Consider the following 17852-nt stretch of genomic DNA (forward strand, 5'->3'; position numbering starts at 1 on the left):
TGTTAAGATGTCAGTTTTCCCCAAAGTGATCTGCAGATATATCATCATAATCCAAATCCTAATAGGGCCTTTTGTTTTTTGTTTTGGGTAGAAAACAAGGAGCTGATTCTAAAATTTATATGAACACACACACACAAATACAAAACCCTAGAAGAGCCTAAATAATTTTGAAGAAAAACAAAAAGTTGGAGAATTGAATTCACACAACCAGATTTCAAAACTTTCTATATAAAGACAGAGTGGTGTTGGCCAGAGGACAGACACATAGCTAGATGAAGAAGAATGTAGAGTCTAGAAATAGATGCACACATATACGATGAACTGATTTTCAACAAAGATGCCAAAACATTTCAATGGAGAAAGGATAATCTTTTCAACAAATGGTGCTGGAACAACTGGACATCCACAAGAAAGGGGAGAAAAAGAACCCTGACCTATTATCTTGCACCTTGTACAAAACTCAACAAAAACTGGATCACAAAGCTAAATGTGAAACCTAAAACTATAAACTTCTAAAAGACAACATAGTAGAAAAGTGTTGTTTTCTTGGGTTTACGCAAGTATTTCTTAGATATGACAGCAAAAGCACAATCATGAAAGAAAAGGTTGACTAATTCAATATTATCAAAATTAAAAACAGGCTAGGTATGGTGGCTCATGCCTATAATCCCAGCACTTTAAGAGGCTGGGGTGGGTGCACTGTTTGAGCCCAGGAGTTCAAGACCAGCCTGGGCAACATGGCAAAACCCTGTCCCTACAAAAAATACAAAAATCAGCTGAGCACGGTGGCACGCACCTGTAGTTCCAGCTACTTGGGAGGTTTAGGAGGGAGGACTGCCTGAGCCAGGGGAGGCTGAGGTTACAGTGAGCTGTGATTGTGCCACTGCACTCCAGCCTGGGCAACAAAGTGAGACCCTGTCTCAAAAAATAATAATAATGAAAATAAAATAAAATAAAATAAAATAAAAATAAAAACAACTGCTCTGTGAAAGACACTGCTGAAAGAATGAAATGAGGCCGGGTGCAGTGGCTCATGCCTATAATCCCAGCTCTTTGGAAGGCAGAGGAGGGCAGATTGCTTGAGCTCAGGGGTTTCGAGACCAGCCTGAGCAACATGGCGAAACCCCATCACTATAAAAAATACAAAAATTAGCTGGGTGTGTAGTAAGCACCTGTAGTCCTAGCTACTTGTGGGGCTGAGGCAGGAAGATCGCTTGAGCCTGGGAGGTCAAGCCTTCAGTGAGCTGAGATCATGCCTCTGCACTCCAGCATGGGTAACAGTGAGACCCTGTCTCCAAAAAAAGAAAAATTACACACACACACACACACACACACACACACACACACACAAAATCATTTATTGGATAAGCTACAGGAGCTCATGCCTGTAATCCCAACACTTTGGGAGGCCAAGGCAGGAGGACTGCAGGAGGCCAGGAGTTTGGGCAACACTGCCTCTAAAAAATTTTTAGGCCCAGGAGCAGTGGCTCACGCCTGTAATCCCAGCACTTTGGGAGGCCAAGGAGGGCAGATCACTTGAGGCCCGGAGTTCCAGAGTAGCCTGGTCAATGTGGTGAAACCCCGTCTCTACTAAAAATACAAAAAATTAGCCGGGCATGGTGGGGCATGCCTGTAGTCCCAACTACTCGGGAGGCTGAGGCAGGAGAATCGCTTGAACCCAGGAGGCGGAGGTTGCAGTGAGCTGAGATCGCGTCACTGTACTCCAGCCAGGGCGACACAGTGAGACTCCATCTCAAAAAAAAACAAAAAAAAACAAAAAAAAATTAACAAATTAGCCAGGTATAGTGGTCCATGCCTATAGTCCCAGCTACTTGGAAGGCTGAGGTGGGAGCCCAGGAGGTTGAAGCTTCAGCGAGCCATCATTGTGCCACTGCACTCCAGCCTGGGCAATAGATTTAAGACCCTCTTTCAAAAAAAAAAAGCCTGGGCATGGTAGTTCATACCTGGAATCCCAGCAATTGGGAGGCTAAAGCAGGAGGACCGCTTGAGCCCAGGAGTTCAAGACCAGCCTGGGCAACAGAATGAGACCTGGTCTCTACAAAAAAATCAGCCAGGCATGGTGGCACATGCCTGTAGTCCCAGATACTTGAGATGCTGAGGAGGGAGGATCGCTTGAGCCCAGCAGGTCAAGGCTACAGTGAGCTGTGACAGAGCCACTGAACTTTAACCTTGGTGACAGAGTGAAACCCTGTCTCAAAAAAAAAAAAAACATTTCGCTATAACTAAATATCTAGTTGATGTCCAGTAAATTCTGTGTTAGGTACAAATGAAGCACGAAACACAGTTATTGCCTTCTACAGAATCAAAATCTAGTTGCAGGGACAATACATTTAAAAACGAAGTGATAAAGCAAGTACTAGGGTTGATTAGAGACCAGAAAGGGGAATAGTTTAGGTACATGAGGTCAGAGGAACTGGATTAGTCGAGGAATGCCTTTAGAAGGAAATGAGGGCCGGGGGTGGTGGCTCACGCCTGTAATCCCCGCACTTTGGGAGGCCGAGGTGGGCAGATCACGAGTTCAGGAGATAGAGACCATCCTGGCTTACACGGTGAAACCTGGTCTCTACTAAAAATATAAAAAGTTAGCCAGGCATGGTGGACACGCCTGTAATACCAACTACTTGGGAGGTTGAGGCAGAAGAATCACTTGAACCTGGGAGGCGGAGGCTGCAGTGAGCCAAGATCGCACCACTGCACTCCAGGCTGGGTGACAGAGCGAGAGCGAGACTCCATCTTAAAAGAAAAAAAAAAAGAAGGAAATGAGAATTGGGCCAGATAATAAAGGACAGAAAGAGCTAGGTAAAGGGAAGAAAAAAAATAAAGTAGATATTTTATGAAGGAGAAAACACTTTAGGAAGGAATTGTTAATGAGGATTTTCTAGCTTGCTAATTGAGAGAACAAGCTGGAAATATCAGAAGACTAGTTTTCACTGGCTGTGAGTGAAAATGACATATTGAATGCTAGGTTAAAAAGCTCGAATGGAAAGACAAAAATCAGTGTTTCAGGTAGATGACTCAGGCAGCATCAGTAGAAATGTTGTAATAGAGGAGAAAGAAGAAAGAGAATGCAGGGAATCCTAGGGGTAGAAGCCCAGACATGTCCTGAGGCAATGATATCCTAAAAATGCTTCAAGAAGATGAGAATAAGGTCATCAACAGTGGTCGTTCACAATGCTGATTTAATATAGTAGTAGGAACGTAAGGGAAGGCAACAAAGCAAGTCCATATTTAAAAGAAAGTGTCAAGAAAAAAGAAGGTTGTACTGGCTCTGTAAAGGAATTTTAAAAATTCTCCATTAGATTTGTTTTATCTACTTACTAAAGAAAACCTATTAATTAATGCTGCCTCATATCAAGATAATTATTCTGTTTCTGAAATAAGACAATAACGGAGAGGACTCTGTTATAAACAGAAACAGATTACGAGTTATAACAACTGGACTATTTAGTATCTTTCATGACGCTTGACAACTTTTGAAGCTTCAGTTTCCTCATGAAAAAAAAGGATAACATCTATTTCCTCATTATAGGTACAGTAAGAATTTAATAAAGTAAAGCATTAATCCAAGTGCCTTAAATACATCTTCACTGTCAATGATGAAGATCCAGTAGGAAGTTTTAACTATCTTTATAAGCCATTTAGGCCCATTATCATTAAGCATTTCTCACGGAGATTGGAGAGAAGGACAAAAAAGACTTTTTTTTCTTTTTTCCAAAAAAGGTTGAGATATGTTGAAATGGAGAGAATTATCTCAGCAATGTGATGAAGGATGTCCTTAGGAACCCTGTGGCAAATGTTTGGGGATAATCACTAAAGAGATAAACAAAAGCAAACCGCCAAGTACAGTTTGACAGCATGGCTAGTTGTTGGATTGCCTCATCTTCATCTTTGTTTTGTATTAACTACTCTGTGGGTTCGCTTATTTACTGAACAATTATTTACTGAGAATTTACTCTCTCTAACAGTGGTCCTCAACCTTTTGGCACTAGGAACTGGTTTTGTGGAAGATAATTTTTCCACAGACCAGGGTTGGGGGTGGGGTTGAGCGGGGAAGAGGAAAGTGGTTTTTAGGATAAAATTGTTCCACCTCAGATCATCAGGTATTAGTTAGATTCTCATAAGGAGCGTGCAACCTAGATCGCTTCCATGTACAGTTCACAATAGGGTTCCACTCCTATGAGAATCTGGGGCTGCCACTGATCTGACAGGAGGCGGAGCTCAGGTGGTAATGCTCTTTTGCCACCACTTACCTCCTGCTGTGTGGCCCCGTTCCCAACAGGCCACTGACTGGTACTAGGGGTTGGGGATCCCCTGCTCTCTGAGGTTATGTGATGGTACTGAATCAAAAAGATATCTAAGGCACATCTCTGATCTCAGGGACATCATCGTACTGAGCACTTAACCACGCTCCAGGAACCATGCCAAATGGTTTATATTTATTTCATTTAATCTTAACACTGGCCCTATGAGGCACTCAATGTTTGTAACTTCATTTTATAGTTGAGATTAAGAACCTGCCTAACAGAGTCAGGACTCTGCCTCCAGAGCTGGAACTTTGAACTGCTACACTTAACTGTTCATGGTGAGAGAAAAGATATATAAGGAATCCAGATGCTGAAAAGTTAGTATGTGATCTGTGATGCCTGGCTCTGGTACAAGTGTGAATTTTAAGAGACTCCAGTTTTGGTGCCTAGAAGCAAAAACATCTCAAGTCGCAGAGGTAACTTGGGGATAGGAATTGACATTGTGTATAAAGCAAAAGATAAATAAAGGCTTTATATAATCTGATACATAAAAATTAATTTTGTGTCAATAAAATAAATCCATTCAATTTATCCTCATAGTTCTGAGGGCAGGATATGCATAAAAAGATTCAAAGAATTAAATTTTATTCCAAAAGGCTTCAAAACAAGATGAGTTTCTAAATTCTAGCTTATTGGCAATGAAGGCCTGACAAGGAACATAAAGCAATGTAATAATTAGGATAAATAGGATAAAGAGACTCAATCACTGAGAATCTAAAAATGTATTTTAAAGAAAAGCAAATATTAACTTAAGCCTGAATTACATAAGTCTATGACACATGAACCCTCTAGACCTGGTAACTATTCTGAAAAAATACACATAAAGCAATTTCAAGAGAAAACAGTAGGTTGCCTGGCATCCATAATGGCTTTTAGAATAATTCTTTTAATAGGAAAATGTTATAAAAAGTCTTAAACTGATTATCTCTAGAAACATTAGCAAAGCAAAATAAGTTAAAACAAAATCAATATAATTTCAAAAGAATGTTAGGATATGCTTTTGTTCTCACCTGGGTTTTAATGTTTTCGGGATCATCGGCTTGGCTGTCTCGTTTTTGGCTTGGCTTCCAGGCATTTTCTGCCTTTTTCAGGTGTACATCTTCTTTTACAGAAACTGTGATGATCTTTCTGGGTTCTCTTCTTTGGCCAGGTTGAGATCTTCGTGACCCAACATTCAACAACTAGGACAAGAATATTACAGCTATTCAGAGTACTTACAATTTATTGGCTTTGTTGTGCTGTTCAAGTCAAGTCTGATGACTACGCCAAGCAATGCTAGATGCAAAGATTGGGTACTAGGTACTCAAACTGGAGGTAATCTTTTTTGGGGGTAAAAAAAATAACTTCAGAATACCATCAATGTAATGTTCTCCACCACTACAACTTTTGAACAAGAGGCCTTTTTGAACCAGATGTTTGACAAAGCCGTTACTTCTAATGAGAAAGACTAGTCCTAATTTAAGCTTATCTTTTATTAGTTGAATAACTGTGGACTGGTCACTTCAATAATTACAAAAATTCACAGGTAGGTATCATCATAGTTACAAATCTGCTAAAACTGGGTTTCTACAATCCCAGGGTAAAATGCAAATTTAATATCATCACTAAGCCTTACTGTAGATCATAAAAGATTCCACTCATTATGCTGGGTCAGAAATACTAAAATAAGCCCGTTATATATCATCAATGAGAGTCAAACTAAATTACTCCCTGAAAAAAAAGGCTTCCTTTTATTTGTCTGCTCTGTTCCTGCTGGATTCCCACTATACCCTTATGTTAAAACCAATGTATGTTGCCATGTTATACTGCCAGCACACTAAGTAGAGATAACAGAGTAAGTTAAAAGTTGCATTTTGTGTATCAAAATATTCATAATTACTATCTTAAATGCTTGGAAATAATTTTTCAAGGTTAAATATTTGGGTTGATACTAAGCTCTGCTACCTTCAAGCAGACCTGCTGCATGTTGACAACCTTTACTTTTTCTGATATATCATTCTGTTAGTGCTGGGCAAATACTGCCACCAGATTTTTTTTTTTTTCTTTCTGAGTTGCACTGAAGGGCTAGCCATTAGATTTCAAGAGAGAATAAAAACTTCATACAAAGCACACATAGATGAGAATCATTTCTCACTTAAGGCCCCAATGCTGCCCTTTTGAATTCATTTAACGCTTCAGAGAAAAAAGTCTAGACTTTAATGTCATTCATTACATAAAAATACAGTTTCTAGGCGATAACACAGTCTGGGGCCTAAGCTGATAAGCTCAAACACCTTTACACATCAATCATTCTCAGAATTATTCCTTTATGCTTCACCATCTGCCCCAATTAGAAATGGTAGTATCAAGAATGCATCAGGATCAAAAGTTAGGGTTTCTGCAAAATTTCACACCAATCTTGTCAAATGCATCCAGCTAAGGATACAGTACTGATGATATCACAGATTATTTGATAAACATTAAAAAAAAAAAACAAACAGGTCAGATAAACCCAGAGGTATGAGACACATGGTATAACTGAAAGGAAATAAAGATCATCAGATTGGAAAAATACCAACAGGGAACAGTTGTTAAACCAGACAGTACTACTATAAGAACATAAATTGTAACTGAAACTTTAATATAGTAGCCCAGAAGAAACAATTCTGATAGAAAAATGTGGTAATCAAGTAATGCCTGATTTTTATAATTCAAGTTATATTCTAGTGTTGACTTATATGGATTAATAACTTACTAAATGGTTGGCTAAACCTCAGGTAAACAATTATATCACAAGATATTTAATTTAATCCATGCATTTGTACATAAACATTGTCAAGAACAAATGTTTCTGGATGCAATGAAAGGAAATTATGTCAAAACCAATTAAGAGCCATAGATGCACATTAGGAGACAAAGTCAGAAAATGCCCATTACCAAAACCTACTGCAAACACCAATGAATAAATATGCCTTGAGATTTGAATCTGGAAAATGGCAATATGATTTATTCCACACCTCTTTACCTGACCCAAGACAAATATGTGTGAGTTTCAAATGAGCAACAGAGAGACGTGAGAAAGTAACAATAATGCTTCAAAGGAAAAAAAACTTTGAAAAGCTAACTGATAAATTGTTAGTCCAGGATAAAATAGTTAAAATTATAACCCACGTGAAAGCACCCAAGAAAAAATTTTAAATTATAATTGTATCTCTGGTTATAACTAAGATAAAGACACTGTTCTCAAATATTTATCTAGCTATTAATAGATCTACTATACTTACAAATTCTTAATATGTTCAATTAATCAATCTCTAATGTGCCCATATTTACACTCTGAGAATGAATTCACTGTTTGGAATAGCAATGCCTGGAAAACTGTGGTGTAGTGAACTTAGGAGACAAAAGAATCAGAATCTAGAGTCCAAATCTGCTATATATGAGCAAAGTTACTATAGGCAAGTCTCTTAGTTTTGTTGTTTTCTCATATATACAATGCCAGCCCTACCTGAAAACATTATTGTGATTATAGGATATAAACCATGTAAAAGGACCCTAAAAACTATATTATCATCAACACCAAAGGATCAAAAGGAACTTTTAAAAAACTGATACATAAATTTAAACATTTCATGTCCCTTTTTGTGTGTGAAAATCTTAATACAGATAATCAAATTTATGGTATCCTTCAGAAGTAGCAACATATGATGAATGATTTATATACTAAACACACAAAAAATCTAGGATCCTGTGCTAAGAGGTATGGGCTACACAAAAAGAAACGACACCTGGTTTCTTTCTTTGAAAGACAGTACTTTAAGGAACTTTAAGGTATAATGTGCTCAAGGTCCACAATGTCAAAACTAAAAATCTCAAAGTCTGGGGTTGATTAGTGAGCCATTTTCTTTTTTCAGGTGACGTTAAAGTTTGCATTTTTTACCCACTGTCAGTTTTCAAAAATGTATTATGAAATTATACCCATCTCCGTTTTGCAATTTAATATACATCATTCCTATCTTATTCAGAGACTGTAATCTTAAATTCCACTGCCTACTTGGATAACCAAAGAAAAGAGAATCAATATACACCTAAATTTTTAAAGAAGGAAGACAACCAAGTGTTCCTTTAAAGAAAGACTTTACTCCTAGGATTCTTCTTTGCTGCTAGGATTTTTATGATTGATCAGTTTATCTCAAAAGTTAGTTAAAATAAGTATAAATGGCAAATTACTTATATAGGTCCAATGCTCCTCTTAAGATATATTTTTTGGAGTGCTTTCTGTGATGTCCGCAAAAAGACTACTAACACAACTGATAAGTAATTTTATTTATTTTTTTTATTTTTTGAGACGGAGTCTTGCTCTTTCGCCCAGGATGGAGTGCAGTGGCACGATCTCGGCTCACTATAAGCTCCCGGGCTTACACCATTCTCCTGCCTCAGCCTCCCGAGTAGCTGGGACTACAGGCGCCCGCCACCACACCCGGCTAATTTTTTGTATTTTTAGTGGAGACGGGGTTTCACCGTGTTAGCCAGGATGGTCTTGATCTCCTGGCCTTGCGATCCACCTGCCTCGGCCTCCCAAAGTGCTGGAATTACAGGCGTGAACCACCACGCCCGGCCCATAATTTTATTTTAAAAATAACTAAAGACATGATATTTCATGGTAATTTCCAACAGATATGCACTTTACTATCCAGTGAAGGACACTTAGGTTTGAAAACTACGTAGCTGCATATGACATTTTAAAATCATTGGCATACATTAAAAATATTTTATAGCAAGTCTGTTACAGCAAAGTTTTTGGTTTTTTGTTTTTTTTTTTAGACAGAGTCTTGCTTTGTCACCCAGGCTGGAGTGCAGTGGCGTGATCTTGGCTCACTACAGCCTCCGCCTCCCGGGTTCAAGCGATTCTTGTGCCTCAGTCTTCTGAGTAGCTGGGATTACAGACATGTACCACCACGCCTGGCTAATTTTCACATTTTTAGTAGACACACGGTTTTGTCATGTTGGCCAGGCTGGTCTCGAACTCCTGGCCTCATGTAATCTGCCCACCTCAGCCTCCCAAAGTGCTGGGATTACAGGCATGAGCTGTAGAAAAGTTTATATTAGAAGTCATGGCTACTTAAGATAATAATGGGGCATACCTCATAGATTTTAATATCATTAAGTGATAATTAATTATAAGATAATTTGGAGAACTGGAAAAAGTTATTTGAAGTATGGAATCAGAAACTGCAAAGAGTAGGGCTGTTGCTTTTTTCCAAACAGCATTATTTCTGTCCTGTTTTTTTGAGACAGAGCCTCACTCTGTTGCCCAGGCTGGAGTGCAGTGGTACAATCTTGGCTCACTGCAGCCTCTGTCTCCAACCTCTGTTTCCCAGGCTCAGGCAATCCTCCCACCTCAGTCTCTCAAGTAGATGGCACTACAGGTGTGTGCCCTCATGCCCGGCAAATTTTTGTATTTTTTGTAGGGACAGGATTTTACCATGTTGCCCAGGCTGGTCTTGAACTCCGGGACTCTAGCAATCCACCCGCTTTGGCCTCCCAAAGTGCTGGGATTACAGGCATGAGTCACTGTGCCTGGCCATTTTTGTTCCTTTATATGTTGATATTTATGTCCTATGACATTCCCATCTGTATCTACATCAATATACCAAGGTAAGCTGGGCAAATTAAGTGGAGAATGTCTGTTATCTAGGAGATAGGCTGGAAGAATAACTTGTGTTAAGGCTTAACATATCAACATTACCCTGAGACATCAAAATTTCTCTTAAAAACTAGCTTCTGACACAGAACAAAGCTGCTTAATAAAAGTAAATTAAATAATTAAAGTTGATCTTTTTGGAGCTACTACAAATTCTAGATAACATCTCACTTCTAGTCACATTACTTTGAGTGTACCAGAATAACTCACTGATCTCACATACGTAGGTATACAGAGGAGTGGTATATGCTGTGATAAAGTTACTTTTGAAAATCATTTTCTATTTTCAATAATTTAAAAGAGACATTGCTTATTCTAAACTCACAATATTTCCTTTTTGTTATAACTAGTTATTAGCAAACAATGACTAGCAAGCTGTTAGTGAAAAGTGACACTGGAAGAGGATTTATACATTTTGTGAGTCACATATCAACAACATTGGGCAATATGATAATAACCACAGATGCTATTATCCACAGAATATTCAAAATAGCATCAACATTATTTCAAATATTTGGCAAAACAAAGATATAAACCAAAACCAAAATGAACAGTAACACAAATAAAAATTTCAACATTAAAAAGGGAAATAATACTGAAAAAAAAGGTATAAAATGGGCCGGGCACAGTGGCTCACGCCTGTCATCCCAGCACTTTGGGAGGCCGAGGCGGGTGGATCACGAGGTCAGGAGATCAAGACCATCCTGGCTAACACGGTGAAACCCCGTCTCTACTAAAAATACAAAAAAAAAAAAAAAAAAAAATTAGCTGGGCGTGGTGGCAGGCACCTATAGTCCCAGCTACTCGGGAGGCCAAGGCAGGAGAATGGCGTGAACCTAGGAGGTGGCAGGGCTTGCAGTGAGTGGAGATCACGCCACTGCGCTCCAGCCTGGGCGACAGAGCGACACTCTGTCTCAAAAAAAAAAAAAAGGGTATAAAATGGTTTCTAGAAAGCTGCTTTCTAAGACTTTCTGGTGAGGTAACTCAAGATTTAGAAAAATTTTAATTTAGTATTTCCTGAAAATAGATAAATGTGTGAGAAACAGAGTATCTCACATACACAGGTCTCTAAAATGGTGATGGATTAATGGCTCAATAAACAGTATGCTTCAAATTCAGGTGGTTTTCGGTAGTTTTACAAAGCCTCCAACACACTGTAGGCATTCAAGTATACGCCATCACTGTTCGGTTGCAGGAAAATAATCAAATAATTTAAATATCTACAAAGTGACATTTGTTTTCAGACAATGTAGTCTTATTTCAAAGCAGGTTTCAAAAGTTGCCATTTCAGAAATAAAAAGGTGATGCGGAAACAAAAAGTGTCACCTTACATAAAATGAAGTAACACGGTTATCTGCAAATGTACATCAAACCCCAAGCTCCTCCAAAATGTTAGATTTATTGCTCTCTATGCCATTCTAACTTGGGGAAAAGAGACATTCAACATCATTGGCAACTTTCCCCATGCTTTCTGCAAGTCTACAAAGCATGGAGTAGGCAGAGCCTGCCGAATCCTGCACAGTGCAGTGCCCCAGCATAACTCCACTGGTGATGCCACTTCCACCGCTGAAAGAGCCTGCCACTGGGGGTGTAATGGCAATCTGCAGTTTACCAATACTGCACTCTTTTGTACATGTCATTTGTTAAAATTTTGACTTAACAATCAATAGTAAATAAAAAGAGCGTAACAGAAAATATTATAACACCAGAGACTATTATTACAAAAAACAAAGTGTTCAGCGCACCCCTAGAGGCAGGCTCTTCATGGGTGGGTGTGACATCACCAGTGGAGGGCAAGTTGGGGCTTTGCTCTGTTCCAGAATTGGCAATCCATGCCTGCTCTGCACTTTGCAAATCTGTAGAAACAAAGACAAAGACATGATCATTAGCTGAATGTCATCAGAGATCTCCAGTATTTTAGGACACCTCAAAACAAAACAGGAATCTTATCAAGGTTGGCTCGCTCTGTATATATATTTTTTCAGAGACAGGGTCTTGCTTTGTCGCCCAGACTGGAGTGCAGTGGCATGATCATGGCTCACTGAAGCCTGGACTTCCTGTTCTTGTTTTGTCACCCAGACTGGAGTGCAGTGGCATGATCATGGCTCACTGTAGCCTGGACCTCCTGGGGTCAAGTAATTCTCTCACCTCAGTCTCCCGAGTAGCTGGGACTAGGACTATAAGCATGCGCCAGCATGCCTGGCCTATTTTTTTCTTTTCTTTTTTTTTTTTTTTTTGTGGTAGAGACAGGGTCTCTCTTTGTTGTCAGGCTGACCTTGAACTCCTGACCTCAAGTGATCCTCCTGCCTTGACCCCACAAAGTGCTAGCATTACAGACCTGAGCCACCATCCCTGGCCATGGTTGGCACTATTTTTAAACCTATTTGCAGGTCACCTCAATTGAAAAAATAGGGAAAAAAAAAATCAAGACCAAATTAATGCAGACTAGCTTCTGCCAAGTAAAAAGAACTCAAGTGTATTCTTTATCTGCTTTAATATGAGTATGGAAAGGATAGTCTTTGCCTCTTCTTCTTCTTCTTGACTAGAATCAACGAATAAAAGCTGCTGTCTTGCCATGAGGTAGGATTTCATGGAGTCTGTGCCAGTGTCTAACTAAGTGAGTTGTAGGGAACTTGCACTTACAGGTACGCCTCTTCCACCAGGTGTCTGCCTTCCAAAATCAGCAAAGGCTGGTGTAAAGTCTGGTCCTCGAGGCAAAATTCGAGGATCCAGAGTTCGCATTGGCAATTTGGGTTGGTTGATCTGCATGAAAAAGCAAAAGAAAGCTTAATACATGTTCCAGAGCATTCCCTGCCACAAAAGATAACAAAAATTTTTACTGAAAAGTTACATCAGCTGAAACGGTAAGCACCAGCTTTGGAACCCGCAGAAGTCCAATCTCATCCATGGCAGCTTCTCCTGGGCTACTCTTAGAGCCATTAGGCTAAAACAATGGTTTTCTGATACGCTGGGAATGATTTAGGCCTTAAATTTCCAAGTAGGGGCTATACATAATCAGCAGACTGGCTCACTAGATACTGAGGACCAACTGAATGGCACAAGACAAGATATTTTGAGATCCTCTATACTAGGGTCAAATTTTAGAATTAAAAAAAAATATTCATCAGGATATAGAGCACTTGCCTATACGAATCCTGCTACTGCTCATTTTAGTTTTGATGCTGTAGACTTATGGTTAGTAAAGAATGTACTATGAGTGGACAATAAGTCTTAGAGGAGACATGTTTCATAGGTGATGATTCATTTAAAATTTCACTGTCTGCCTTGTTAATCTGAGATATCTGACTTTGAATAAGCATGTAATGTGACCATGGACAACATAAAGTTAAGCAGATCAGTGAGAAATCAACTAATTAGTGGCCAAAGTCATAAACAGATAAGGCAGCAGGACAGGCAGGAATATTTTCTAAGAGGATAATTGAATTTGGTGGATATAACACTTGACTTCTGAGGTACTGAAGTAGCCTCAAATTAGCACCATTAATCAGTCATTCAGCTGTCCTCACATAAGTATCTAGGAGAGAAGACTTAGATACCACCAATAGAAGTAAGAAGACCTGTTGCTATAAGAAAGTAAAATAGTATAAATGAGTTCTGGATAAGCAGCTGCTGGACATCTTTACTAACCCATTTATGCCGGAGGCTGCAAATTTTTTTGCGTGAAAATTCAGACCTTGGTTATGACCTTGAAGAGTAGGATATAAATAACTCTCACAAACTTAGCATTCCAATAATGAAACACTAGGCATAAATCGGTTAAGAGGTAGATATGATTCCATAAGATAGTTAATCTCTACTTTTACATTTCTGTTCCTCTACAAAACAAAAATACTTCAAGCTTAATCATCAGCTCTGATGAAATTACTTTAGTAGATCTGACTTTACTCCTTTTAATTTAGTAAACAAATACTGACTGTACTAATTTGCTGTGTGCACCATAAAGATCAGATGCAAAGAGGAAGGATGCCTATTTGCACAAGATTGGAGAATTCAATCACTGGAGGTATCTATTAGGGAAACTTTGAGATACATATTATTTGAATCATGTTGACTCTCACTTATGTTTGATCTGCCAAATACCTTCCTAGATTTCTGACCTGTCTTCAATGCCAATAGAATTCCATAATGAACTTTTAGAACAATGAGGAAAGACCTCCGTATCAATTTAGCCATGTTTCCCCCAACAAACACAAAATTTTTTATTTCACCAAAAAACAGCCATAATAAGCAGATAAATCAATAAACATTAAAAAAAACCACCACTCCAACATGGGCCAAATCCCAAAATGACTGTAACCTATAAGAAACTCAAAATCCAACAGTGTTTAGGGAAACAAATTCTTAAACATTAGATATTTTTACATCATTTGGTCTAACAATTACTAAAAACTGCTCATACTTCACATATTTGCTCTTATAGTTAAAATCAGTTCCCACCAAAAAGAACTAGTTTTCTCTGAGTACGCAGCTTACCTTGTCAAGAACCACATCACTGATAGGAGGCAGGCCCTCTGGTTTTTGTATACAGGCAGGCATGAACTGGAAGTCCAGCAGAAACTCCCTGTCATACTGCTTCTTACCTTCAGTATCAGTAGGCTTCCAGGATTCTAGAAAGAGGAATATAGGCAGACACTGTTTGTAGGGCATTATATACAGTCATGCATTGCATAACGATGTTTCGATCAATAACAAACTGCATATACAACTGCATATACAACATTATAGCCCATAAGGCTATAATGAAGCTGAAAGGTTCCTATTGCCTAATGACACTGTAACTATCCTCATGTGGCAGCACAATGCATTATTCACATGTATGTGTTAATGGTAGTGTAAACAAACCTACTGTGCTGCCAGTCATTTAAAAGTATAGCACATACAATCAAGTATAACACATAATATTTCATAGTAACAAGAAATAACTACGTTACTGGCTTATGTATCTACTGTACTATACTTTTAAATCACTAGAGTATATTCCTTCTATTTATTAAAAAAAGTTAACTGTAAAACAGCCTCAAGCAAGTCCTTCAGGAATTATTCCAGAGGAAGGCACTGTTATAATAGATGACAGCTCTATGCATATTATTGCCCCGGAAGACCTTCCAATGAGACAAGATCTGGAAGTAGAAGACAGTGATGTTGATGATCTTGACCGTGTATAGGCCTAGGCTAATATATGTTTGTGTCTTAGTTTTTAAGAAAAATCCTTAACAAGTAAAAAGATAAATAATTTTAAAAATAGAAAAAAGCATATAGAATAAGGATATAAAGAAACAAGGCCAGGGATGGTGGCTCACACCTATAATCCCAGTACTTTGGGAGGCCAAGAGTTTGAGACCAGCCTGGGCGATGTAGTAAGACCTAATCTCTAGAAAAAAAATTTTAAAAAATTAGCTGGGCATGGTGACATGCAACTGTAGTCCCAGCTATCAGGTGGCTGAGGTGGGAAGATCACTTGAGTCCAGGAGGCTGAGGCTGCAGTGAGCTATGATTGCACCACTGCACTCTAGCCTGGGTAACAGAGTGAGATTCTATCTCAAAAAAAAAAAAAAAAAGAAAAAGAAAAAGAAAAAGGAAAAAGAAATATTTTTGCATAGCTATACAGTGTGTTTTAAGCTAAATATTATTATAAAAGTCAAAAAGTTAAAAAATTAAAAAGCTTATCAAGTAAAAAGATTAAGGTAAGCTAAGATTAATTCATTATTAGAGAAAGTACACATTTTAAAATAAATGTAGTGTGCCCTAATGTTTATAAAATCCACACCAGCACACAGTAATGTCCTAGGCTTTTACATTCACTCACCACTCATCTAGAACAACTTCAAGTCCTGCAGTCTCCATTCATGGTAAGTGCCCTATACAGTGTACCATTTTAAATCTTTTATATAGTATTTTTACTATACCTTTTCTATGTTTAGTTATATTTAGATACACAAATACTTACCATTATGTTACAACTGCCTACTATTCAGTATAGCAACATGCTGTACAGGTTTGCAGCCTAAGAGCAGTAGGCTACACTATACAGCCTAGGTGTGTAGTAGGCTAGAACATCTAGGTTTGTGCAAATACTCTTTTGTTTGCACAAGGAAGAAATTGCCTAATGATGCATTTCTCAGAACAAATCACCGTCATTAAATGATGCATGACCTACATTCCCTAAGAGTACAAACCACATTCCAGTATTTATCTCTTCATGAACAAACAAAAAATAGAAGGGAACAATGAAATACAGTCAGAAAATATGTAAAGATTTTAAACCATCACTTGTTCTTTCATCCCTTCTAAATACCTTTGAGTAGTAAAATAATCTAAAGCAAGTAGGAATCACTTCACATACACACTAAGTAACCTTTGGCCAGGGACATGTAATAATCCTCATTAAATAAATAACTTAGAAATAAGACTTAAATAACTAAATAACTTAAATAACTAAGAAATAAGGAACCTGATACAACCCTTGGCTTCATAAAAAAGGCTACTTTGGTTGTTCACTAGGAAATGTTATTTTAGAGAAAAAAAAAAAAGCAAAAGGACACAAAACACAGAAACAACTTATTTAAGATAATGAACTGTCTATGCAGTTAGATACTAAGTTTTTTCTCCTGCCTATAATTTCATCTAAAAAAAAATCACAGTTTTCTTATTTTAATTAATAAAACTCATCAAAATCAGACTCCAGATTACTTCCTGATAGCAGATTGGATCCTTCTTACATTAGAGATTCCTAATGTGTAGGTTATAGACCCGCTGATGGGTCTTTGAGAATATTCCAAATGTTTTCCACCATATCTTTATTACCCTATTATATTTATTAAAAAGTAGACAGCTTATTGGGATCTAAATTTCAAACTGTTTTTTTTCCAATGACTATTGTCTTTTTTCCAATTACTGCTGTTAAATATTACAAGGGCAAAAGGTAGTTGGTCAATTATAGTCAGGGCCTATACTGTAAAACTGATGGATGAAAAGAATTAAAATATAATATAAAATATAAGTAACATAAATTATGCAATATACAAAATATTAAAACATAAAATAAATTAATATAAAAATATAATTTGCATAGTCTAAAAATAGCAATAGTGTTTCCATTTTCTTAAGACACATTGGTGATGGCTACAAGTACTCTGTGACCTGGTACAAGCCTAGATCTTTTTCTTTATTTTTGAACACAGTATACAAGCCTAAGTTGACAAAAGCAATTGAGTACACTGAGTCCTAGGGTTTTTTTAAAAAAAGTTTTATGATAGCATAAATTTACAATTTCATAAAGCCCATTAACAGGATTTTACTGGTAGTGAAAGATCAGTATATCAAAGTGGTAAGGGCTGGGCATGGGAGCACTTTGGGAGGCTGAGGCAGGAGGACTGCTTGAGCACAAGAGTTTGAAAGCAGCCTGGGCAACATAGTGAGACCCTCCCTCTGTAAAAAATAAACAATAAATAAAAACTTTTAAAAATAATATAAAATAAAGTGGTAAGTACTAGTCATTGGTTTTCAAACATCTCTGACTACAACTCACAGTAAGACATAATGACTTCATGACCCGGGACAATTATAAACACATATATAACTACAAAGTTTCTAAAAACAATACTTATTCTTACTTACATGTAATAGACTGACATTTTTTATTATATTATCCTTTTTTAAAATGTTGGTTGTGACCTATTAATTTCACAATCTATTAAATGTATTAAATCCAACAGTTTGAAAAATATTGATCTAGATTACCTTTGAGGTCTGGTATTTTACACTCAAACCCCACCTCCTGCAAAACTTAGTCTAGATTTGGCAGACTAAGGAAAACTTTTCAC

General features: G+C 37.7%; 1 protein-coding gene across 62 annotated transcripts in view; it reads right to left on the reverse strand.

Moving 5' to 3' along the window:
- The window catches only part of EIF4G3 (eukaryotic translation initiation factor 4 gamma 3), a 370606-nt gene that overhangs the window by 74574 nt on the left and 278180 nt on the right, over positions 1-17852 (reverse strand). For 37 of the 62 annotated variants that reach the window (XM_047433321.1, XM_047433366.1, XM_047433340.1 and 34 more), the window contains 3 exons: positions 14503-14636; positions 12652-12771; positions 5336-5506 (listed from right to left, as the gene is read on the reverse strand). In XM_047433321.1, the coding sequence (XP_047289277.1) occupies positions 5336-5506; positions 12652-12771; positions 14503-14636 (425 nt within the window). Of the gene's footprint in view, positions 1-5335; positions 5507-11753; positions 11865-12651; positions 12772-14502; positions 14637-17852 lie in introns of all 62 variants that reach the window. The other 25 variants (XM_047433324.1, XM_017002707.3, XM_011542370.3 and 22 more) reach the window with 1 other exon arrangement.

Source organism: Homo sapiens, chromosome 1 (assembly GCF_000001405.40).
Source record: "Homo sapiens chromosome 1, GRCh38.p14 Primary Assembly".
Classification (NCBI taxonomy): domain Eukaryota; kingdom Metazoa; phylum Chordata; class Mammalia; order Primates; family Hominidae; genus Homo; species Homo sapiens.